This window comes from Homo sapiens, chromosome 3, assembly GCF_000001405.40.
Source record: "Homo sapiens chromosome 3, GRCh38.p14 Primary Assembly".
Lineage (NCBI taxonomy): Eukaryota > Metazoa > Chordata > Mammalia > Primates > Hominidae > Homo > Homo sapiens.
The window spans coordinates 52,595,810-52,622,545 of NC_000003.12; the positions used below are offsets into that span (position 1 = coordinate 52,595,810).

General features: G+C 40.8%; 1 protein-coding gene across 160 annotated transcripts in view; it reads right to left on the reverse strand.

Annotated features, from left to right (window-relative positions):
* The window catches only part of PBRM1 (polybromo 1), a 140,547-nt gene that overhangs the window by 50,443 nt on the left and 63,368 nt on the right, over positions 1-26,736 (reverse strand). For 157 of the 160 annotated variants that reach the window (NR_175959.1, NR_174502.1, NM_001405585.1 and 154 more), the window contains 4 exons: positions 21,453-21,729; positions 19,542-19,647; positions 13,504-14,146; positions 7,712-7,923 (listed from right to left, as the gene is read on the reverse strand). Coding sequence is in view for 158 of the 160 variants with exons in the window: in NM_001405585.1 (NP_001392514.1) it covers positions 7,712-7,923; positions 13,504-14,146; positions 19,542-19,647; positions 21,453-21,729 (1,238 nt within the window). In the remaining 2 variants the exon portion in view is untranslated. Of the gene's footprint in view, positions 1-7,711; positions 7,924-13,503; positions 14,147-14,708; positions 14,783-19,541; positions 19,648-21,452; positions 21,730-26,736 lie in introns of all 160 variants that reach the window. The other 3 variants (NM_001405566.1, NM_001405596.1, NM_001405625.1) reach the window with 2 other exon arrangements.

Consider the following 26,736-nt stretch of genomic DNA (forward strand, 5'->3'; position numbering starts at 1 on the left):
GATTTTTGTACATGGCAAGAGACGGGGCTAATTTCATTATTCTGTATACTGATATCCAGTTTTCCCAGCACCGTTTATTGAAGAGACTGTCCTTTCCCCAATGTATATTCTTGGCACTGTTGTCAAAAATGAGTTCACTGTAGACGTATGGATTTGTTTCTGGGTTCTCTACTCTTTTCCATTGGTATATTTGTCTGTTTTTATGCCAGCACCATGCTGTTTCAGATACTATATAGCTCTATAATATAAATTGAAGTCGGGTAACGTGATTCCTCCAGTTTTCTTTTGGCTCAAAATAACTTTAGCTATTCTGAGTCTTTTATGGTTCCATATAAATTGTAGGATTGTGGCTGGGCGCGGTGGCTCACGCCTGTAATCCCAGCACTTTGGGAGGCCGAGGCGGGTGGATCACGAGGTCAAGAGATCAAGACCATCCTGGCCAACATGGTGAAACCCCGTCTCTACTAAAAATATAAAAATTAGCTGGGTTTGGTGGTGCGCGCCTGTAGTCCCAGCTACTCGGGGGGCTGAGGCAGGAGAATTGCTTGAACCCAGGAGGCGGAGGTTGCAGTGAGTCGAGATTGTGCCACTGCACTCCAGCCTGGCGACAGAGTGAGACTCCGTCTCAAAAAAAAAAAAAAAAAAAAAAAAAAAAAAAAAAAAAAAAAAAAGAAATGTATCCTACAGGCCTACTACCTGGCTACTGTTGCTGATTATTCAGGGCCCAAGGGCTCTTTAGTCAGCAGGTGATGAATTCTACCAAGACTGGGTCCCTCTCTTCAAGGCAGCGTGTTCCCTTCTGGCTCAGGGGCATGTCTAGAAATGCTGCATGGGAGCTAGGGCCTGGAATGGGTGCCTCAGGACTGCCCAGTGCCTTATCCTACTGTGGCTGAGCTGGTATCTAAGCTGCAAGGCAAAGACCTCTTTACTCTTCCCTCTCCTCTCCTCAAGTGGAGGAAGATGACTTTTTCGGAGCTGCCCAGGGTTGGGGAGGGGTGGCGCAAGTACTCCCCTGGTTACCCTGCTGGTGTCTCACATGTCATGTGCCCCCTAAGTCCACTGGCTCTGAGCCCAGCACAGCACTAGGACTTGCCTAATAGTTGTAGTCCTTGTGGCCTACACTTCCCTTCAAGTTTATTTAGGACCCCAGAGCCCTTTAGCACACAGTGGCAAGGCTTGCTGGAACCCAAGTTCTGACAATTGTCCAGTCCACTGGGCTGGACAATTCCCCTCTGATGAGGGCTGGCCTGAATGTTTCCTCTGTGGGCATCGGCTGAGTTCCAATGCAAATCCCTCAATCACTGTGCTCTAACTCCCGCAAGCACAAAGATTCTCTGTGTCACACAGCTGATGCTGGGGTATGGGAGAAGGGTGGTGCCAGCAATTCAAGACTGTGTTTTCTACCCTCTTTCAGAGATATGAAGTTAAAACTAGGTACTGTGATTGTTTACCTGATTTTTGGTTCTTATGAAGGTGCACTTTCTGTGTGTAGATAGTTGTTAAATTTGGTGTTCCTGTGGGGAGGACAATTGGTGGAGGCTTCTATTCGGCCATCTTGCTCTGTCTCCTAATTCTCCTATTTCTTGGTATTAGATATGTAATTTTTAAAAGTTCTGCCAATTTTGGTGAAAACTGTTATCTAGCAATTGATTAATCAAGTGAATCCCTGTGTAATACACAGCAGATCTATAAGGTTCTTGAGAATTTTATACCAGCAGTAACACTATCAGTTTACTCAAAGGGACAGAGAGACTAGAATTTTTTTTTGTTTTTTTACAGACAGGGTTCACTCAGGTTTCAGGGTACTGGCACCATCACAGCTCACTACAACCCTGAACTCCTGGGCTCAAGTGATCCAGCGATCCTCCCATCTTAGCCTCGTGTGGTGGCACATGCCTGTAGTTCCAGCTACTCGGGAGAGTCTCACTGTGTCGCCCAGGCTGGAGTGCAGTAGCACAATCTCGGCTCACTGCAACCTCTGCCTCCCAGGTTCAAGCAATTCTCTTGCCTCAGCCTCCCGAGTAGCTGGGACTATAGGCATGTACCACCACACCCGGCTAATTTTTGTATTTTTAGTCGAGACAGGGTTTCACCATGTTGGTCAGGCTGGTCTCGAACTCCTGACCTCAGGTGATCTACCCACTTTAGCCTTCCAAAGTGCTGGGATTACAGGCGTGAGCCACTGCACCCTGCCAATTATCTTTTTCTTCCTTTATTTCTGTTGTTGTTCTACTTCTGGGAGACTTCTTCAACTTTGTATTCTAATATTTCTCTGAATGGAAAACAACTTCATATATGATTCACACACCACATAATTCACCTATTTAAAGTTCAATGGTTTTTGGTATATTACATTATTAGTTTTTTAATAATTGTAGTAAAACATATAATACAAAACAGTTATCATTCTGACCACTTTTAAGTGTACCATTCAGTGGCAATAACTTAGTGTTGTGCAACCATAACCACAAACTATTTCCAAAACTTTTTCATTATCCCAAACAGAAACTTTAATCATTAAACAATAATTATCCATTTCTCCACTCTGCAACCTGGCCCCTAGCAACCTCTATTCCACTTTCTGTCCCTATGAATTTGCCAATTCTATATACTTCAAAAAAGTATAATCATACAATATCTGTCCTTTTCAGTTTGGCTTACTTCACTTATCATAAGGTTTTCAATGTTCATTTACATAGCATGAATAAGGATGTCATTCCTTTTTATGGTGGAATAATATCCCATTGGATGAATATACCACTTTTTGGGCTTTTGTTATTTTTCATTGACATATGATAATCATGTGGCTGGTGTCTGCAATCCCAGCACTTTGGGAATCTCAGGAGGGGGGATCCCTTGAGCCCAGGAGTTTGAAACCAGCCTGGGCAACACAGCAAGATCTCATCTCTACAAGTAATTTAAAAAATTAGGCCAGGTGCAGTGGCTCACGCCTGTAATCCTAGCACTTTGGGAGGCGGAAGCAGGCAGATGACCTGATGTCAGGAGTTAAGAGACCAGCCTGGCCAACATGGTGAAGCCCCGTCTCTACTAAAAATACAAAAATCAGCTGGGTGTGGTGGCGCACGCCTGTAATCCCAGCTACTCAGGAGGCTGAGGCAGGAGAATCGCTGGAACCTGGGAGGCAGAGGCTGCAGTGAGCTGAGATCACACCACTGCACTCCAGCCTCAGCAACAGTGCCAGATATCTCAAAAAAAAAAAAAAAAAAAAAAAAATTAGGCAGGTGTGGCACATGCCTCTAGTCTCAACTACTCAGGAGACTGAGGCAAGAGACTCGCTTGAGCTCAGGAGGTTGAGGGTGTAGTGAGCCATGATCGTGCCACTGCACTCTAGCCTGGGTGACAGAATGAGAGCCCATCACACACAAAAAAAATTGCACATATTTATGGAGTACAGTGTGATATTTCGATAACATGGATACAACGTATAACAATCAAATCAGGGTAATTAGCATATTAATACTCTCAAGGATTTATCACTTCTTTATGTTGAGAAGACTCAAAATCCATTCTTCCAGCTATTTGAAAATATAAAATGAATTGTTAATTATAGTCAGTCTATAGTACTATTGAACACTAGTAACTTATCCTTCCTATCTAACTATAAACATATAGATGGTCAATAGGCATATGATAAAATGCTCAACATAACTATAAACTTCAGGGAAATGCAAATCAAATTTTAAAAAAATTTTTACTGTTGGCCAGGCGTGGTGGCTCATGCCTGTAATCCCAGCACTTTGGACAGCCGAGGCGGGCGGATCATGAGGTCAGGAGATCGAGACCATCCTGGCTAACACAGTGACACCCCGTCTCTACTAAAAATACAAAAAAAAAAAAAAAGAAAAAAATTAACCAAGCGTGGTGATGGGCGCGCCTGTAATCCCAACTACTTGGGAGGCTGAGGCAAGAGAATGGTGTGAACCCGGGAGGTGGAGCTTGCAGTGAACTGAGATCACGCCACTGCACTCCAGCCTGGGCAACAGAGTGAGACTCCATCTCAAAAAAAAAAAAAATTTTTTTTTACTGTCAATCTCACTTGCATATGAAAATATTTTTTATAAAAACATTAACATTTCATGGATGTATTATTTTTAAATACATTTTAAAATTGTGATAAAAAATCTATAACAAAATCTGCCTTTTAAACCAATGTAAAGTGTGCATTTCAGTGATATTAATTACAATCACAATTTTTGTTTTTCATTGATATATAATATAAATATTTATGGGGCACATGTGACACTTCGTTGCATTTATAGAATGTGTAATGATCAAGTCAGGGTATTTGGGGTAACCATCCTTTCTATGTGTTGGGAACATTTTAAGTTCTCTCTTTTTATCTATTTGGGGATCTTTGACTCCTCTGTAACTGGATGTCTAAATTTCTTGATACACTTGGAAAGTTTTCATCCATTATTTCACTAAATAGGTTTTTCAACCTTTTAAAATTTCCTCTTCACCTTCAGGAATACTGAAAATTTGAGAATCTGGTCACTTTATGGTGTCCCTTATGTTACCAAGCTTTGCTCATTCTTTTTTATTTTTCTTTGACTGAGTTATTACTATTTCAAAAGACCTGTCATCAATTCCTGAAATTATTTTTTCTGCTTGATATAGTCTGTTCTTAAAGTTTTCAAATATCTTTTGTATTTCATTCAATAAATTCTTCAGTTCCAGAATTTTTTAGTTCTTTTTCATGATGTCTATTTGATAAAGTTCTCATTCATATCCTGAATTGTTTTTCTGATTTCTTTGTAATGTTTCTAAGAATTATCTTGTATCAAACTTTGAATTATTTTCCTGGAATCTGATAAATTACTTTGTTTTTGAGACGGAGTCTTGCTCTGTCCCAGGCTGGAGTGCAATGGCGCGATCTTAGCTCACTACAACCTTCACCTCCTGGGTTAAAGGTATTCTTCTGCCTCAGCCTTCCGAGTAGTTGGGATTACAGGCACGCGCCACCACGCCTGGCTAATTTTTGTATTTTTAGTAGAGACAGGGTTTCACCATGTTGGCCAGGCTGGTCTTGAACTCCTGACCTCATGATCTGCTGGCCTTGGTCTCCCAAAGTGCTGGGATTACAGTCATGAGCCACCGTGCCCAGCCGCTAAATTACTTATCGACTGAAATCTATTGCTAGAGAATTACTGGGTTCTTTTGGAGGTGTAATTATTTCCTTGCTTTTTCTTGATTCCTGTGTCCTTACTTACATTGATATTATATGTGTGTCTAGTACAACAGTCACTTCTTCCAGTGTTCTGAATTTACTTTCGTAGAAGAGGACTTCTCCCTGAAGATGTATCTGTGGTGTTCGTTGGGCAGGATACTTTGGTTTTGAATCTGGGTTTGTACAGTAGTGTAATCTCTGTATGATTCCTTCTACTGTAAACAGTATCAGTGGTATCCATGACTTCCTCAGTGGCTTAGGGCGGCAGCCCCCAACGTTTTTGGCACCAGGGACCAGTTTCGTGGAAGATAATTTTTCCACAGACAGGGATGGGGTTTGTGTGGGTAAGAGATGAGGGTTGGGTGGGATGGTTTCAGGATGAAACTGTTCCATCTCAGATCATCAGGCATTAAGAGTTTCATAAGCAGTGCACAACCTAGATCCCTCACATACACAGTCCACAATAGGGTTCATGCTCCTATGAGAATCTAATGCCACCACTGATCTAACAGGAAGCGGAGCTCAGGGGGTAATGTTTGCTTGCCTGCCACTCACCGGCTCCTGTGGAGCCCAGTTCCTAAGTAATGTGGGGGGTGGGGAGGAGGTGGGGGTGCCTGGCTTGAGGTGCATAAAGTACTGCTGGGGACTGGGCTGTCAAGGGGGCCATGCTTTGGGCCCCAGAGTGGTGTATACTGGCACTGGTGTTAGCAGGTCCAGGCAGGCCAATTCCTGGGACTCCAGCTGGCTTGCTGGAGTGCCAGGAATGGCAGCAGTGGATCGAGCAGGTGGGTGGGTTCCCGAGCCCTTGGGCAGTGGATGTGGCAAGGGTGAAAGCAGTAGCAGTGCTGGGCCAACTCTCTGGGACCCAAGTGTTCTGCACCAGTGCTGGCAATGGCTATGATAGGTGAGCTAGTACCCGGACCGACAGGTAACACATGAAGATGGGTGCCAGTTGTCGTGGTAGTGACAGATTGAGTGGCCCTGACCCCACATGCTGGGAAAAGTGCTCAGGTATCACTAATTGTCAATTGGGCTGGACAATCCCCAGGCCCCTGGATGGAATGTGCAGATAATTACATGTACGTGATCAATCAGTTGCTGCTTTTAAGATTTTCATCGGTTTGATGATGATGTATCTAAATGGGGCTCTCTTTGTGATTATCTTACTTGAAATTCTTGGAGCTGTTTTTCATCAATTTGAGAGGTTTTCAGCATTATGTCTTCAAATCTTTTTTCTCTCCCTTTCTCTTCTCTCCTCTGGAGCTCCCACTATAGGTCTGCAAGGAAACCTGACACTAGGGGTTGCTCCTCTCTTTCTATAGCCAATGACTTAGGTGAAGTTTGTACTTAACTACCTCAAGCCCGTAAGGATGTACCATGTGCTGACAGATCTGTGTATAGGTTGGGGGATGCACTCAAAGTTGCAGCCAATTTTCAAGTATCCTTTGGATTCTGCTCTTCACCAGGTTCTTTTGCATCTTCCCCCACAGCATGTGTAGGTTTTCCAGCTGGCTGGGAATGTGTGGAGAGCTTATCTCAGTCCTTTTATAGATGTCTAATTTTCAGAATATTCTTTAACTTGGATCGTCACCTTGGGCCATCAAAGTTGCAGCTTTACTCCATGCATTTCTGCATCAACCACTTTTAGCTGGCAAAGTCATAGATTCCCCTCTCCCCTAAACCCCACACATATATATTCACTATCTTCCTGAATGAGTATATCATATATCTCCTTTGGTGACAAAGCTGTTGGTTTTGCAGTTAGTTCTATGCTGGCAAAATTACTATTCTCACCAACCAAGTCTCTTTCCCTTCTTTTTGGGGTTTGCCATCGCTTATAAGAATTTGCTTCAAATCAATCTATTTTGTTTTCTTGCCTAAGGGAAAAAAATCTACGGAGGAGATTTGATGCCAAAGATTAACATAACTTAGAGTCACACATTCTAGGAATCTATGTGAACTTGAACTTTAACAGAAATGATCCAATTTGTAATCATAAGGTCCTGTTATCAAAATATTTCTAAATTCTGGCAAGTGACCCAAAGTAACATTTTATAGTTTGATACAATTAAAATAAAACTTTTCTCCAGGTATGTGATTCAACCAAAATATCATCTACTTGTCTGGTCCAAAGTATCTATGAGGAAAGCAATGCTACTGCATGATGTGGCAAAAACTTCATGGACTCACTGTTGAGAATGCTTTCTAGTTCTAGCTGGCCTGCTTAGGTTTTGATCTACCAATAATATAAAGAGGCATTAAGCCCCCACACTTGTGAATTAACTGACTCTTTTCCTGGAATGCTAGGATAACAGCTGTGTCACAGGTAACTTTTAATCTTTCCCAGGTCTGATGACCAAATTGATAACTATAAAAATATTTCCATCTCATTGCGTCTACTCTAATATAGTCAATACCCTGAGTTTTCATTCATACAAACAGGACTCTTTTCCACAGCTAATTATGAGAACACCTAGAAGACAGTGCATTTTTTCATATTCAATAAAATGAAAAGAAACCAACCTCTTTTTTCTTCTTCTCGTTTTAGTTTATCTTCCTCTATTTCTTTTGGCAATTTTTCCTTTCTCTCTTTCTCCACATCATTATGCAAATGTTTTGTGGTATAGCTGAGTGCCGGTGAAAGAAGAATCTCTCCATTTTTGCAGAGTTCATCACGAATTTTAATAAAAAACTGCTGAAGTTCTACTGCATCTTCATATATTTCTGAATCTGTCCTATAACAGCATCAAGAGTATCCATTGACATACAAGCTGTTTCTTTTAAACACCTCAATTATATGTTAAATTCTATTAAATGCTTCTTTAATTGATATAGTGGTATTTCTGTACAGGTCTATGAAGAGTATCTTTCCGAAGTTTGTTAGAACAAAATCCAAAGTGTCATTTTACCATGGTAAGCCCCATGCCCACCATTTTCCTTTACTTCAAGGCTCACTTCTTGTACAGCTCATGAAAAACGAAAGGCCTCATGTATTTTCTCTTGGAGATATATGGCACACGCATCAATCGATTCTGGCAGGGGAAGGTGGCTGCCAGAACCAAGAATTGTACCAAGGCTCCACAATATGTTCAACACTTACTCGTATCTATTCTTTGAATTTTTACTTTCTCTTAATAGCAGACCGATGTGTTACATAATAGGCTCTATTTTCTTCCTTTTGGTCCTACATCATGGTTGCCTAGGCTAGTGAGACCCTGTGAATATCGGAACCTAAAGCAAAGCCATGAAAGTATTCTATAATGGTTACAGGCCTCAGAGTTAATGTTCATTTTAGTTTCCCAGAAATAACTGTGTAATTCTGGGGAACCAGCAAAGGCAACATAGTGAAAGATGGAAAAAAGATTATGTATGTCATACCCAGAACTTTTCTGAGTCTCCTTCCTCATTTATGAAATAAAGCGGCCAGGCATGGTGGCTCATGCCTATAATCCCAATGCTTTGGGAGGCCGAGGCGGGAGGACTGCTTAAGGCCAGGAGTTTGAGACCAGCCTAAGCAACACAGCAAGACGCTGTCTCAACAAAAAAGTAGCCTGGCATTGGGGTACACACTTGCAGTCCTAGCTATCCGGGAAGCTGAGGCGGGAGGGTCACTTGAGCCCAGGAGTTCAAGGGTGCAGTAAGTTATGATGGCACCGCTGCATTCCCACTCTGGGCAACAGAGCAAGACCCTGTCTGTTAAAAAAAAAAAAATCAATAAACAGGCCAGTTGTGGTGGCTCACACCTACAATCCCAGCACTTTGGGAGGCCAAGGTGGGCCAAAATGGTGAAACCCAGTCTCTGCTGAAAATACAAAAACTGATGGTGCACACATGTAATCTCAGCTACTCAGGAGGCTGAGGCAGGACAATCACTTGAACCCGGGAGGTGGAGGTTGCAGTGAGCCAAGATCGCGCCGCTGCACTCTAGTCTGGGCAACAGAGTGAGTGAGACTCTGTCCCAAAATAAATAAATAAATAAATAAATAAATAAATAAAATGTGGGGAGTGGGCAAAATAAACTTCAGACTTTAGAATTTTGACTGGAGGAAATTTTATTACTGTTTCTAGTACCACTGTGGTCTGAGGAAGGTTTACATACAATTGTTTTTATTTCATTTTATTTTGAGGCTGGGTCTTGCCCTGTCACCCAGACTGGAGTGCAGTGGCGTGATCACAGCTCACCATAGCCTCAACTTCTTGGGCTCAGGCTGGCTAATTTTAAAATTTTTTGTAGCAACAGGGTGCTCCCTGTGTTGCCCAGGCTGGTCTCGAACTCCTGGCCTCGAGTGATCCTCCCTCTTCAGCCTTCCAAAGTGCTTAAATTACAGATGTGAGCCACCACACCTGGCTGGCATAAATCAAATTCTATTAACTAAGAATACCAGAGTCTAAAAACTTATTCACAAAACTAACCACAAAGGTCTTAGCAGTTACAGAGACATTCTGGTCAGAGGAGTGTGGCCAAGTAGGCCACCTACTGATACATGCCACTAGAGCATCAAACTTCAGAGAGGTCCCCAGAATGCTGCTCCCATCAGCAAAGGTGAACTGACAAACAATTAAAAGACACGATCAATAATCTAAATGGGTGTTTCCGGAAAGTCTCTTTTTTTTTTTTTTTTGAGATGGAGTTTCGTTCTTGTTGCCCAGGCTGGAGTACAGTGGTGCGGTCTCAGCTCATTGCAACCTCTGCCTCCCAGGTTCAAGCGATTCTCCTGCCTCAGCCTCTCAAGTAGCTGGGATTATAGGCACCTACCACCATGCCTGGCTAATTTTTGTACTTTTAGTAGAAACGAGGCTTCACCATGTTGGCCAGGCTGGTCTCGAACTCCTGACCTCAGGTGATCCGCCCGCCGTGGCCTCCCAAAGTGCTGGGATTACAGGTGTGAGCCACTGTGTCCGGCCTTGGAAAGGTTTTAAATATCTTTTGGGGTCATAGAAATGCTAATACTTGTAGGAAAGCAATAAAAATAAAACTTACCAAGGGAAGACACCCCTGAAACACTTTTTTTTTCTTCTTGAGACACAGTCTCACTCTGCTGCCCAGGCTGGAGTACAGTGGCACGATCATGGCTCACTACAGTCTCAATCTCCTGGCTCAAGCAATCCTCCCACCTCAACCTCTCGAGTAGCTGGGACTATAGGCATATGTCACCAAGCTTGGCTGATTTTTTAAATTTTATTTTAAGTAGAGCTAAGGAAGGTCTTGCTATATTGTCCAGACTGGTCTCAAGCTCCTGAGTGCAAGCCATCCTCCCACCTTGGGCTCCAAAAGTGCTGGGATTACAGGTGTGAGCCACTGTACCTGGCCCCTAAAACATAATTTTATGTTTGTTTTCTGAATGAAGATATTTGAATTCTGTTCACTTGAAATTAAAGTTCATTTTATAATAGTGTACAATTTTAAGTATAAAAAGTGAAAATTTCTGTAAATTAAAAGTAAAAAATTTTTGTAAAATTTTTGTAAATACCTTTCATGGTATACTAAAAGGGCAGATCATAATTCCATCATATCGCATGGTTTAGAAATGAACATTCTGTACAAGAGTCACTAAACACCTAGTATATGCTTTTGTTTATTCAAAGCATTATAAAGAATTTATTAGTCTACGAGGTCAGGTATTCATTGAATGTGCAGGAACATAAACGCAAGCTGGAAAAAGAACTCTAAATTCCCCTCAATTGGTAATCTTTTTATATAAGGCAGACATTCAGCAAAAGGAAATAATTAAGAATACAGGAGGCTCTTAATGCTTCCCTTGTTCATCTTCCCACAGGTCTCTTTTACCTGCAAGGGGATCAGAGTGTTTAGTCTGGGAATACTGCCAGCAGTTTAGGAAAGCCAGCAGCCAACTGGCATGAGTCAGCACTGTGCTGTTACTAAATACTGTTGATGGACAAACTATTGTCACCTGAGTGAATTTTTCTCTTGTTACGTCTCACTGTTCAGATTCCTTCTATTTTAGCCTGTGAAGTCCTAGGTGATGTTGGGTAGCAGTGGTGGGTAGGGGTAGGGGTAAATGGTGATGAAGCATGAAGACTCTTAGAGATCAACATGGAAATCTACGGTATGTAGACTTCATTGAATTTATGAACTAATATTTCTGGGATGCCTAGCTTTGTTACTGATAATATAGTAGATAAAGGCATAGTTTATCATTCACTAAATTGATGCATCTCCATCAATTCTTATTAAGTACTTATTCTTAATAAGTACTATAAGCAATCACAATACTATCTTTGTTCACAAAGTTAAGAATGGCTCCCCGTATGTTTTTCTTTAAAAAATTTTTCCTAACTACTAAATTACCAGGGATCCCTTTTGTTTTTCAACAAAGCTCTGGGCATGAGGGTAAAACTGTGTGCATCACTATCTCATAAAAATACACCTTGGACTCTATCTTCCAGGCCTCAAAAGCAAAAAACAACCATGTCAACAATGGGAGAATGAAAAGAGCTAATTTCCTAGAGATACAAATCTTAATTCTTAAAATAAACATTTCATCTATAAGACATAAACGAAGTTCCTAATAATCTAGAAGACAAATACTCATTGAAAGACTCACAGAACTAACACCAAGATGTAATGGGGCTAAGCAGGGAGGAGAGGAAGGGAGGGGTATTAGACTTAAGGACTACTTAAGCCAAGAACAAGAACAGAAAGAAGTCTAAGCTACATGAAAGCAGAGTTTGTTTTGCCCACTGGTGTATTACATGCATCTAGAATATGCTCATTAAGTAGCCTCTCAATAAATATGTGTTGAATAAATGAGTAACTCCAAGAGTTTTTGACTGCAAGATGTCCCTCCATCCTTCTCTTTATTTCTACTCAATTGCTGAAGAACCATATTATTAAGGACCATTTCTTAAAAGTGTCACACATGGGCCTCACCAAACTGGCCCCAACTCTATCCCTGTCTCTTAAACATATCATATTCATTTCCTAACTCCATTTCTTTGCTCATAACATTCATCTTATTTGAAATATCCTCTGGCCTATTCATTTGAACCCTACCTATCATCCCATGCCTTTTAAGGAGAACTGTGGCCCACAGAGTTCCTTACATCACCATCTTTACTAAATATAAGGTTGTGGCATGTTGTCTCATGTGTGGAATTATTTTTCCCTTAAGCGTAAGTCCTGGCCCATCCATCAGACTTCAAGCTTTTAGAGCACAGAGCTCAAGGCTTATCATCTATGGCCGTGCTCCATGACTTGTCCTGGTAACTGGCTCAGGAGTAGCCCTCTGCAGTGGAGAGCAAGACAAGTCACATCATTTACTAGTTGTAAGACTATGGGTAACTTTTCTCTGCCTATGCCTCTAATTCTTTCACATGCAAACTGAAAAGATTATCACTTATCTAGAATGGCTATCATAAGGGTTAGAGATTGCCTTCATAAAGTGCTTAGCATGGTGCTTTACGAAGAGCTGGTGCTTAACACAAGCAGCAAATGTTACTATGTTTTTTTTCTTTTATTTGCAAAGACACTGAAAGCAAACATTACTACTTGCTTTTCTTTAAAGGTTCAGAGCAAATTCTGATTTCATAGATTCCCCAGCTGGCATTACACTGCCTGAAGGTCTAGTTCTAAACATGATAGGCTGTAAGCTCCAGGAAGGTAAGGTTTGTATCTTTTTTTTTTTTATATTTTTCCAACTGTCTCTAAGTGCACATATAAAATACACTGTAATTGCTGAATTTAATAGTCAAGTCTGCTATTGACATGTAGCAACGATATATCACAGATAAAAATTAGAAGGAAATTTAAGTTTAAAGTAAATCTAAATTTGATTGCTTCTTTTAGAACATTTAATGTCTTCAGCAAGCTCTTAAGGTGAGAAACCTGAGATTAAAAAAAAAAAAGAAACCCTCTGAGGTACTTAAAATGGTGATCAAATTTCTATCAGTCTAACCTCAGGACAACACCTTAGAGCTATTTTATTTAAAGCATTCGTGCACTGAAGCCAAACCTTAAAAGAAAAACGCTGTTACTATTTCCAATTAGAAACATTTATCTTTTTAAAAAACACATTCTATGAAAGGCTGTATTTTAAGTTTATGCTTTTCAAGAGATTTTCAATTTTGTCTTCCTCCTCACTGGCCTTAAACTAGATGACTTAGTGGTGTGCCTTCTCTCCCCCACAGAATATACTCACTCTTAAGAAGTTCTGGCTGATTAGAATTCAGAATAGCATGCTACCAACTACAAATCATGTATGTAAGTGGAAATAGTACATCAAAGCAATATTCTTTCATCTGTTTTGTATTAAATAGCACATATCCTCAAAATAAAAATGGCTTTGAAAACATACCGATTCATCCTTCTTGCTCGTTCCAATACTTCAAACATATGCTCTTGAAATAAATCAAGCCGACGGTAGCGATTATTTTCAACATTCTTCCTAATTATGTCAAATGTAAGGGGTGGTTTGTTAGGAAAGTTGGGATCCACAGCAGGAATTTCTGCTAAAGAATCGCTGTAGCATCTTCCCTCATCATCCTGATGACTCATGACTGACACAAAAAGATTGTGGATAAGCTCTTGAATCAGCAAAGTCACATTTGGGACATGAGAGTCCTCATCTCCCTCCAGGTCTCTGCGTGTTTCAAGCAGGACTTTGTGTAGAACAAGAGCATCTTTGTAGATCAAAGACTCCGGCTCATTGTATGTACAGGCATTATTAAACATCATGACAAAGTCCTCAACCATAGAGTCAATATCTTGGTACTTGTTGGCCATCATGTGACTTCGAATTTTTTCCATGTCCATGGGCTTTTTAATAGTCAGATAGTAGTCAGGCAACTCAGATCTAGAGGGAAGCCTCAGAAATATGGCACTGAGGCGGCGACCCCTCTTATCAGTATAGTTCTTTACAGCTTCATAGACCTCATTTAGTTTCTGCTGCATTGGAGTCATGTATTTTGATTTTTTAGGAGAAATGCCACTCTTCCTACCTAAAGAGAGATATTTAATGTTAAATGAATAAAATAAATGAACCTAAATTTGTATACAGATGGTAGCATAACCACAAGGGACGATTCCAAGTAATTTGTAAAATCTAGCAATTAGCATGTCTATAGTGAAATATAACCTGCAGACAAAAAAGTACTAAAAATTTTTTTTAACTGTTTTCAGTAATTATATTTTTGATGGGAGACTACTGTAAGGTTGAGAAAGCTGTGAATAAGAAGGAATAAAGCAAATGAGTAGCTATGTGACATTCTATCACCTCTGGTATCCTGGAGAACTGAGATTTTCATCATGGGATAAAAAGAGATAACGGATGTTAAAACGTAGGACATTAATAATTACCTTGAGGCCTTTAATCTCAATTGAAAGTATCACTATGAACTTATGATGTAATTTATCTTTAAATATAAACATACAAACAAACACACAAATTTCCTAGCTCTGTCCACTGAAAATCGTACAAACAATGACTACCTCAGTAGCAGTATAGCCCACATTAGAGTTTTAAAATACTAATTCCAAATAGTAATGTTGAGGAGCCCTCACCTTTCAGCAGAAACATGAAAAAGGTAGGGCTCCTTGGTAAATGGCTGATTCCCAGTCTGGTATATCTTCAAACACTAGACAGTAAAGAATCTATCAATGACTTCTTACCATGACTTCATGTCAATAGAATATAGGAACCGGCTGGGCGTGGTGGCTCATGCCTGTAATCCCAACACTTTGGGAGGCCAAGGTGGGTGGATCACCTGAGGTCAGGAGTTCAAGATCAACCTGGCCAACATGGCGAAACCCTGTGTCCATTAAAAATACAAAAAATTAGCCGAGTGTGGTGGTGGCGCCTGTAATCCCAGTTACTCGGGAGGCTGAGGCAGGATAATTGCTTGAACCCAGGAGGTAGAGGTTGCAGTGAGCTGAGATCAAGCCATTACACTCTAGCCTGGGCGACAGAGCGAGACTCTGTCTCAAAAAAACAAAACAAAAAGAATACAGGAACGAGCCTGAACCAGCCTGAGTATCAATAAGGACAATAACTTCAATTACAACTCAGCCATATGTTTAAGTCTGGTAGTTCTTAATAATACGTACAAACAAACAACAAAATGGGTAAATATTGAAGGATGTTAGTAAACCAATACATATTTTGAAAACTGGTAAAGGTGAAAACAAAATAAAACAAAAATCAAGCCTTTATCCTTTCAAAAAGCAAGACACACACAAAAAAAACACTGTACCACTGGCTAATCAAATATTAGATAAGGCAAAGTTTCTCTATAGCTAATAAGGAATAAAATTAAAAACTATCACAATTTTACATCCCTTTCATGAATTAATAATTAATGAAGTATGCAACAACACCTGTTAACAGAAAGCCATAAATAGATTTCACATGTACCTGATGGAAGACCATATATTACCTATGAAGTCGGTTTTTCTGCCTAAGGGAGAGAACAGGGGATCAGACCTCAATCTGATCAAGCCTCTGGCTCCAACTACCAATTTATAGGAAATACAAAGGACAGAGGAACACATGAAAGTACAACATAGTGGGCCAGGAGCTGTGGCTCATGCCTGCAATACTAGTACTATGGGAGGCCAAGGTGGGCAGATCACTTGAGCCCAGGAGTTCAAGACCAGCCTGGCAACATAGCAAAACCCTGTCTCTACTAAAAATACAAAAAAATGAGCTGGACGTGGTGGCGTGTACCTGTAGTCCCAGCTACCCGAGAGGCTAAAGTGGAAGGACTGCTTCAGAAGGGAGGTGGAGGTGGCAATGAGCCAAAAATGTGCCACTACACTCCAGCCTGGGTGACAGAGTAAGACCCTGTCTCCACAAAACAAAACAAAACACAAAACACACAAAAAACCCCACAACATATGGATGCAATCAGCAAAACCCAGACTATGGGAAACTACAGCACAAATCTAATTTCTTCAACAGATAAATGGTAAGGGGTGGAAAAAGAGAGAGCTGGAGGGGAGTTTACAGATTAAAAGAAGTATCGGGCTGGGCATGGTGGCTCACACCTTTAATCCCAGCACTTTGGGAGGCCGAGGCGGGCAGATCACGAGGTTAGGAGTTCAAGACCAGCCTGGCCAATATGGTGAAACCCTGCCTCTACTAAAAATACACAAAAATCAGCCGGGCGTGGTGGTGCACACCTGTAGTCCCAGCTACTTGGGAGGCTGAGGCAGGACAATCACTTGAACCCAGGAGGCGGAGGTTGCAGTGAGCCGAGATCGTGCCACTGACTCCAGCCTAGGCAACAGAGCGAGATTCCGTCTCAAAAAAAAAAAAAAAAAAAAAAAAGAGGTATCAATCAGTTGCAGTATGTGGACTTTATCTGGATTCTACTTTAACCAGACACTGCCTCAAGACATGATACAACATAAGGGCAGCAAACCCCTTATAAAGTATCACCACCAAGGTGAAACTTAATCTAATCGCACCTTCAAAGTTAACTTCTATTTATAAGAAATAAGGGAAATAAAGAAAAAAGTTACAGATATCACAAGGAAGCAAGCCTGTCTAACCTAGAACTTGGGACACTGTACAGGAAAGTGACCTGATTTCTTCAATGAGTTACTGGCATGTGGAAAGAAAAGGAAGGAGACTGCTCTAGATCATGGGTTTAAGAGTATAACAATCTGCTGGGTGCGGTGGCTCATGCCTGTAATCCTAGCACTTTGGGAGGCGGAGGCGGACGGATCACTTGAGGTCAGGAGATCGAGACCAGTCTGGCCAACATGGTGAAGCCCTGTCTCTATTAAAAATACAAAAAAATTAGCTAGGCATGGTGGCGTGTCCCTGTAGTTACAGCTACCCTGCAGGCTGAGGCAGAAGAATTGGGGGAACCCAGGAGACGGAGTCTGTAGTGAGCCGAGATCGTGCCACTGCACTCCAGCCTGGGCAACAGAGTGAGAATCCGTCTCAAAAAAAAAAAAAAAAAGAGTATAATAATCAAATTTATTATATAGAACTTAATGAGAGTCTGATTTGAGGAAATCAACTATAAAAATACATTTGTGAGACAATCAGAAGAACTTGATAATTTATCAAGTATTAGATGAAACCAAGAAATTACTGCTAATTTTGTTAGGTATGATAATTACTTCATTGTTATTTATGAAAATGTCTGCATATTTTATTTTATTTTTATTTGTTTTATCCTCAAAGACAAAGTGGCAGATATCTGCACATATTACAGATGCATACTGAACTATGTGGAAGTGAAATGACATGATTGGATTTGTTTTAAAATAATTTAGGAAAAGAAGAAGAAAAAGGGGATAGGAAATAAGTTTGCCACGATTTTGACAAATGATGGGTAACAAGTATATACAGGGGTTCACTGGACTATTCTGTTTTTTTTTTTTTTGGAGGCAGGGTCTAGCTCTGTTGCCCATGCTGGAGTGCAGTGGGCATGATCAGGGTTCACTGCAGCCTTGACCTCGTGGGCTCAAGCAATCCTTCCACCTCAGCCTCCCAAATAGCTAGGACCACAGGTACATGCATGTGCCACCACGCCTGGCTAATTTTTTATATTTTTTTGTAGAGACAAGGTCTCCCTATGTTGCCCAGGCTGGTCTCAAACTCCTGGGCTGAAGTGATCCTCCTGCCTTGGCCTCCGAACGCACTGGAATTACAGGAGCGAGTCACCACCCCTGGCCACTGTACTTTCCATTTATATATTTTTGATATTTTTCATTAAAAAACACAGAGAAATAAAAAGGAGGCCAGGCACCATGGCTCATGCCTGTAATCCCAACACTTTAGAAGGCAGAGGCAGGAGGGTCGCTTGAGCCCAGGAGTTCAAGACCAGCCTGGCCAATACAGGGAGACCCTGCCTCTATTAATTTAAAACAAACAAACAAACAAAAGAAATAAAAAGGAAATTAACATCCCACATAAAAAGCCCCTTTTTCCTGAACTTTAAAAGTTACTGTGTTCCTACAAAGTGGAATGAAAGTTTTACATTTCTGCAAACCTTCTGTATGCTTTTACAATTCCATGAAAAGACAAATGCCTTAAAAAGGATTCATCGCTTAGCAGTAAATCATACCCAAATCTACTATCAAATTTAGTTGATAGTAATTTCAGATAAGAAAGCTAGTCTGGGCCAGGCGGGGTGGCTCACACCCGTAATCCCAGCACTTTGGGAGGCCAAGGCAGGCAAATCACTTGAGGTCAGGAGTTTTGACAGCAGCCTGGCCAACATGGTGAAACCCCATCTCTACTAAAAATACAAAAAACTGGCTGGGCCTGGTGGCGTACATCTGTAGTCCCATCTATGTGGGAGGCTGAGTGGAAGGATCACTTGAACCTGGGAGGCAGAGGTTGCAGTGAGCCAAGATCACACCACTGCACTCCAACCGGGGTGACAGGGCGAGATGCTTCATCAAAAAAAAAAAAAAAAAAAAAAAAAGCAAAAAAGCTAGTCTGTCTGTTTTCCCCCTTTTCAGCAAACATGGCTCCAATGAGTATCATTATCAATTGCTTGGTATCTATTTTATTTACATCATTTTAAAGAAGACAGAAATCTCTTATCTAATGGTATTAATAACTTTTCCTGTCTTCTCTTCCAACCTTTTTCTTCCCTTTTTTTTTTTTTTTCCGAGGCAGAGTCTCACTCTGTCGCCCAGGCTGAAGTACAGTGGTGTGATCTTGGCTCACTGCAACCTCCGCCTCCCAGGTTCAAGCAATTCTCCTGACTTAGTCTCCCAAGGAGCTGGGATTACAGGCATGTACCCCCATGTCCGGCTAATTTTTGTATTTTTAGTAAAGATGGGGATTCACCATGTTGGCCGGGCTGGTCCTGAACTCCTGACCTCAAGTGATCTGCCCACCTCAGCCTCTCAAAGTGTTGGGATTACAGGCATGAGTCACTGTTCCTGGCCTTCACTTACAACTTTTAATAAAACAACCAACCACAGACTACACTCAAATGATAGCTGAGTATAGTACAGTGGCTGGACATCTCTAACTCCTCAAATTCTGTCCAGTTGGAACTGCTGGGATTCATTTTTAATTCTAGTAATTGTCAGACATACATACCAAGGAAAAAAAAATCTGCTACTATATTCTTACAGCATTATACGTACAGAAAAATCTATTCTTACTATTTAAAATTTACAAAATGTCTACGCATTTAAGAAAGTAAACAAAACCTCTGACATTATATTTTACTCCCCATATGCTTGTCACAGTTTAGCTACTTAAAATACAGTAAATGAGAGGGCTTGACAAGAACAAAGAACTCCATGCTGGAGTACAGTGAGTTCAAATATATTCATAATTTAATTAAATATTATTTCAGAAAAATCAGCAATCTCTTCTTGATAGACTAAACTAAATAATGAAGTGTGAGGCTGCCTTACTCAGCTTGAGTTTGGGAGAAGCCATGTCATCATCATCAGGCAGTGGGCCCAGCTCTTTCCTTTTCTCCTTGAGTAACTTCTCCAGGATATGTGCATCATTATAAACCTACATTCCAAAAATATACTTCAATTATTTTCTAAAAACTTTTCATTAAGGTATAAAATGCATCCATAAAGAAGTTTTAAAAAGACAGTTTATGATAGTTGGGAGCTTAAAGAAAACCAAAACCAGCCTCACTACAGAGCAATAAAATCACTCTATCTGTGGGAGAGCCTAGGCCTTAACTGGTTTGTTTTTAAGCTTCCCAGGTGATTCTAATGCACAGACATGCATGTTAATGTTTGAGAACCACTGTAGTAGAATCACTGCAGGTTTTAACAAAAGTCCTGAAACACATTTACATGTGTTGTTTTCTTCAAAAACCTTTCTTCTCCACTGGACGCTCAAGGTAGCAGACTTAGCCCAATAGAAATTAGAAACTAAAAATATCTGATAGTTGGAGAGCAATATCTCAATATCTTAAATTCCAAATCTGAGTTCACAGTCTGAAGCTTAATCTATAAAAAAACAATTATCCTTGCTTAGGGATCTCTCTCTGAGGACTGAGCCAAGGGTGGTAATATGTAGTCAAGAATAAGGTTACTCACCTTATGCTTTGCATCCACAGCCCCTCCTCTTACCTCCTCAGCAGATGCTATGTCCTCCCTTGGCCACCCACCAAAGCAGAGGAGCTGAGGGAATAAGTGACCTCCCTTGTCTGGCCACCTCTCTTAAAGGTGGCTTTTTCCTCTACCAGTGATAGACAAGGGGTACATTAGCCAATGACACTGAGGACTGTGTAAACCCTTAAGATAGAACCATTTTTTTATCTATAAGCATCCTCAATGCATACTTTATTTTATAATCAAATGTAATTGCAGAGGGAAACAAATGACTTAAAAATGTTATTTTATTTCTGGGAGATGTAAAGTGGATAAAAAGATATCAAATAGAAAAAGTTTCAAAGAAGGGAGACTGTATCTCAGTTACAACGATAAAGAACTAAAAATCAAGAAGCTTTGGCCAGGCGCAGTGGCTCACGCCTGTAATCCCAGAACTTTGGGAGGCTGAGGCAGGGGGATCACGACGTCAGGAGATCAAGACCATCCTGGCTAACATGGTGAAACCCCATCTCTACTAAAAGTACAAAAAATTAGCTGGGCGTGGTGGTGGGCACCTGTAGTCCCAGCTACTCGGGAGGCTGAGGCAGGAGAATGGCATGAACCCGGGAGGCGGAGCTTGCAGTGAGCTGAGATGGCGCCACTGCACTCCAGCCTGGGCGACAGAGCGAGACTCCGTCTCAAAAAAAAATCAAGATGCTCTGTAGCAAAATCAATTAAATAAATTATTTAGAGGTACATTTATGGGACTATCATGCTGATTTTTATATAATTATACATTTTCTATATAGGCTGTCTTTGGAGAAGTATGGTCGTTGAGGATCGTAGTAATGATGATGATGAAAGATTTTAATACTATTGGCTTTCCTTTGAGTGCTTATTCAGTACCAGGCACTCTGCTAAATGCTCAGTATACATTATCTCTTTTAAATCCTACAACAACCCTGATGCAAGTACTATTATTAGCCCTAATTTATAGATGAAGAAATTGAGGCTCAGGAAGGATAAATTACTTACACAGGGACTGGCAGAGCAAAATTCAAATCTAGGATGTCAGATTACAAAGTAGGAACGTTTATCTTTATAATGTACTGCCTCTGATTGTAAACAATGAAGAAAAATCAATTAACCTAGTCACCAAAAAGAATAATCTAAGTTAAGCCTCTAGAGCTGGTCTCTCAAAATGCATTATTCTATAAGTACCCCTCTCCCGCAAAATGTGCCTACTTCAGGACCGCTGGCCCTCCTTACCTGGGAGCCCTCCTCATTATAGTGCCTGGCATTCCGGAACATCAGCTTCATGTCTTCTATCATTCCCTCTTCACCAGCATATTTGTCATTGCGGATGTTATGCTCAATTATTTTCAAGTCCATTGGCTCCAAGATGATTTTATAATAATCAGGATAGTCCTTTTTGGATGGTTTAACCATAAATAGGTCACAAAGTCTTCTGCCTGAACCTGGCTCTCGAGCTTCAAGAACAACATTGAATAAGATTTTCATTCGCTGCTTTCTTATGTTCTTTTTACTGTTGAGGGGGAGGTAGAAAAGGGGAAAAATTAGAATAGGTTCAGTTTTCTTAATATACGGATGACCACAAAATAAAACAAATTATTTATGGTGCTTTATAATGATTACAATTTATTGATTACATATGCCACAAACACAGTAACCATGCTGGAAGTTATAAGCAAATATTAGGAAAATTTCCAAAATAGTTAAAACACAGTAATTCTGGCAGGAGCAGTTAATGAACACCAAAAAAACTTTTTAGATATGTCATGAAATGCAATGTTTGAAATAAGATCCTCTCTGATACCAAAAGAAAATGAAATTATATAGTCAACTGAGATATATTTTTTGTTTAAAGATGAGTACAGCCAAAGTGCAATAAAACTAGCAATTCTCTACGGTTATAATATCCTCACTTCCAAGTACAAAAACAAAACAAAATAAAAAACCTAAAAAGAGAAGTGTTTCATCTCTTAAGACAAGTACTCCTGAACACTTGTGTATTTTGGTTGTCTGAAAACAAAAGGAGACTGCCAGACTAGTGTCTTTACAGTGGGTATGAGCCTCTCTTGCATTGATTCTGTCAGGGTCGTCCTTGCTTTCTCCATCAGCATTATTCCACAGTTCCAACCTACTTTAAAGAATAAGCGGTGTGGTTAATCTGAGTTTTCTAGAGTAAAATTTCCATCCTTGAGCATGAATCCGTCTTGTTCTCCAAATTCCCCCAGTGAGATGTGATGCTGAGAAGCTGATTTAAGCAGTATGGAACAAAGCATAAGGGACTATAGATTAGATCCAGAGTTCAAAAGGGCTCCAAGAGAGCAGATGGTCTATCTCTTAATTGCTGAGAAAACTGGCTCAGAGGGGGTAAAAGACTTGCCCAAGGTAAGTTTCCTAGTAAATTATTAGAAGCAATGATCTTCCGATATGGCTTCCGGTTAACTATTCTTATGTACTCAGGGCACGGCTAAAGAAATTCTAGCCAGATAAAGAAATTCTAGTCAGACTAACCAGCAGTCTCCAAGTGAACAGTGAAGTAGGTAATAACAAGAAATGACTTATGACTTAGTTTTTTTTTTTTTTTTTTTTGAGATGGAGTTCCGCTCTTGTTGCCCAGGCTTGTGTGCAATGGCACGATCTCAGCTCACCGCAACCTCTGCCTCCTGGGTTCAAGCGATTCTCCTGCCTCAGCCTTCCAAGTAGCTGGGATTACAGGCGCCTGCCACGACGCCCTGCTTTTTTTTTTGAGATGGAGTTTCACTCTTGTTGCCCAGGCTGGAGTGCAACGGTGTGATCTCTGCTCACCGCAACCTTCGCCTCCTGGGTTCAAGCAATTCTCTTGCCTCAGCCTCCCGAGTAGCTAGGATTACAGGCATGCACCACCACGCTTGGCTAATTTTGTATTTTTCGTAGACAGGGTTTCTCCATGTTGGTCAGGCTAGTCTCGAACTCCCGACCTCAGGTGATCCGCCTGCCTCGGCCTCCCAAAGTGCTGGGATTACAGACTTGAGCCATCGGGCTCGGCTGTGCCCGGCTAATTTTTGTATTTTTAGTAGAGACGGGGTTTCACCATGTTAGCCAGGCTGGTCTCAAACTCCTGACCTCAGGTGATCCGCCCACCTTGGCCTCCCAAAGTGTTGGGATTACAGGCGTGAGCCACTGCGCCTGGCCAACTTAATTTCTATTAAAAAAATATTTACTAAGGTCCTATAGTATAGTCATCCCTTGGTATTCATGGGGAATTGGTTTCAGGATCTCCCTTGTATACCGAAATACATAGATGCTCAAGTCCCTGATACAAAATGGTGTAGTATTTGCAAATAACATGTGCACATCCTCCTGTATACTTCAAATCATCTCTAAATTACTTATAATACCTAATACATTAAAAATGCTATATAGTTGTTTTGTTACACTGTATTGCTTAGGACATGACAGAAAAAAAGTCTGTACATGTACAGTAAAGATGCAATTAAAAAATTTTTTTTTCTATCCATAGTTGGTTGAATCCCTGGATGTGGAAGCCATGGATACAGAGGGCCAACTGTACTTAGAGGTAAATATTTTGTATCTGTTCCCTATCCTTTAGGTGGAAGAAAGTTCATTCCTCAGGCAAACTATATGTGGCTGTATAGGTCTTCTGGTCCAGTCCCCTGACTACTTGCACTACTCCTGGGTCATGAAGAAGCCAAAGGCCAGATCTTTTCTCTCCAAGGTTCAAAATACACTTTTTTAAAACACAGAAAGAAAAATCAAGAATTAACAGTTGAGAAAATAAACATCTATCCTTAAGATTTTTAGGCTTTTCAGAAATGCCTATAACTCAAGGCAAACAAAGTGATTTAATTAGGAAAAAAACAGACAAGAGCCTGTTTCCTGCTAGAGTTGGGATCATCCTCATAACTTGTGTCTTCACTCTGACTGCTTATTTCCTGCTCATTGTGGACCTCAGACAATTCCTGCCATTTTCTCCCCTCAGCACTTTTTTTTCTGTTAGATAAGTTTGTTAGATGATGGCAAAACGTTTGTTAGATATTTTACCTAGTGGAAACTCCTTCTCCAAGGAGACATCCTGGGGCAATGATGTGACAGGAAGAGTTCTCTCATTCTAAGTCTTCGGCAAGTGGATAATACAAGGGAAGTTAGGACAAAGCTCCAATACCACAGAGCTCCACATCTGGGCACAGATTAGAACACAGATGACTTTAACCTTCAGGAAGTCTCTAAAGAAAAATTTCAGAACCTGACTTTGAAGTCAGATGTGGTTTGATTAGATCTCGCATGTGGGGTGGACTTTAAAAGGAAGACAGAGGAATTCAATTCTGAAGCTCTAAGCTTACAGGATCTCTCCAATAAACAGGACAGGATGAAATTAGTCCTCATTCTAGCAATTTCAAGAAGCTTAACAGTTCAGTCAAGGCCCTGACCTGGACCAGGAGGTGCTCACCCCATTCCCATCTGGGTTTCAGCACACTAAGCCCAATTATCATTAGGTTTTTCTGTATGAAGCTGCAAATACTCTCAGATGGGAGTAAATCTAGGGCAGATTTTTATAAGAGGAGAGAAAGTTTTTAATTAAATTTTGCCAGTGAAGTAAAAGAATGGCAAGCGGTCCATTCTTCCAATGCCAGTAATTCTGATACTTGGCAGCTTTGAGTGAGACATACCCAGAATGTGGAAATCTAGTTGTATATATGAAACTGCTCTAATAACTGAAATTTACTGTTTTAGCACTCATATTACTAGTAGCATCCTTTCTCCATTTGTATCATTTATTCCTTAAGTAAAGGATGTGTAATTGATTTCCAGCCTCAAAGAAAGCAAAATTTCTATTACTAGAGTCACTTATGACCTTCTCTGAAAAAATCCAGTTTCATCTTTCATTTACATTTTTCCAGATCCTTACAGTGCCTTAGAGACTGAGAGCCACTGGCCCATTAGTTTTAATCCGGCTGCCAGAAAAAACTCAGAGCCAACTTCATACTCTTTTATAATAATAACTGTATTAGGTTGGGCAGCTGGTATGTTTGCTTTATCTTTTTCCAATATGGAGGCTGAGCCTTATATCCATGACTTCTGAAAGTTTAAAATACTTTCTGAAATGAGATAAACTCTATAACCAAAACATAACCATGACAGAGCCCTATTTGATACTTCTGGCTACTGTTTTCTTTTTTTTGAGACTGAGTCTCAGAGGTGCCATCTCGGCTCACTGCAAGCTCCGCCTCCCAGGTTCACACCATTCTCCTGCCTCAGCCTCCCAAGTAGCTGGGACTACAGGTGCCTGCCACCACGCCTGGCTAATTTTGTTTTTGTATTTTTAGTAGAGATGGGGTTTCACTGTGTTAGCCAGGATGGTCTCGATCTCCTGACCTCATGATCTGCCCGCCTCGGCCTCCCAAAGTGCTAGGATTACAGGCGTGAGCCACTGCGCCCCAGCTCTGGCTACTGTTTTCAATGTCACTTTGCTTTTCAGATTTTTCTTAGAATTTCTCAATGTCTTTTCCTCCTCCTTCAAACCATTAACTGTGAATAGTTTCTTTATTCTTCCCCATTTTTGGAAAAGTAATTAACTACCTTTGATTAAAAGGCATACAATTAAATCACAGGTCTTGTAACTGGCATAATCATTCTCCTTTTTAAAATCAGCACCTTTAAGCATATTAAAGTATAAAATACATCTTAAAGGAATTCAAAATCAGGACTGTTCATCATTGTGCATTCAAGGGGCCATAATACTTAAGGGGAGCCAGGTGTGGTAACTCCTGTCTGTAATCTCAGCACTTTGGGAGGCTGAAGTGGGAGGACTGCTTGAGCCCAGGAGTTCGAGACCAGCCTGGGCAATACAGTGAGACACCACCTCTTTAAAAAAGCGTAGTCAGGCATGGTGGCACATGCCTGTGATCCTAGCTACACATGAGGCTGAGGTGGGAGGATTGTTTGAACCCAGAAGATCACGGCTGCAGTGAGCCATGATGGTGCCACTGCACTCCAGCCTGGGCAACAGAGTGAGACTGTCTCAAAAAAGACAAAAAGGCCAAGCATGGTGGCTCACACATGTAATCCCAGCACTGTGAGAGGCCGAGGCAGGCAGATCACCTAAGGTCAGGAGTTCGAGACCAGCCTGGCCAACATGGCAAATCCTGTCTCTACTAAAAATACAAAAATTAGCTGGGTGTGGTGGCGTGCACCTGTATCCCAGCTACTTAGGAGGCTGAGGTAGGGGAATCACTTGAACCCAGGAGGCGGAGGTTGCAGTGAGCCAAGATCGTGCCACTGCACTCCAGCCTGGGAGACAGGGAGAGACTCCATCTCAAAAAAATAAAAAAAAAGAAAGACAAAAAAATACTTAGGAGGACAACAATTCAGATCATAGATACTGTTGTAGTAAGTACGCTACAATTTTAGAATTTCATAGGAAATGGGACATAAAGGGTCCTGTGCTATCAAAATAAGTATATTACAACAATTTTCCAATTCATGCAAGTCAAGTGTCTTGAGAAATGGCTGCTTTTTCTAATTT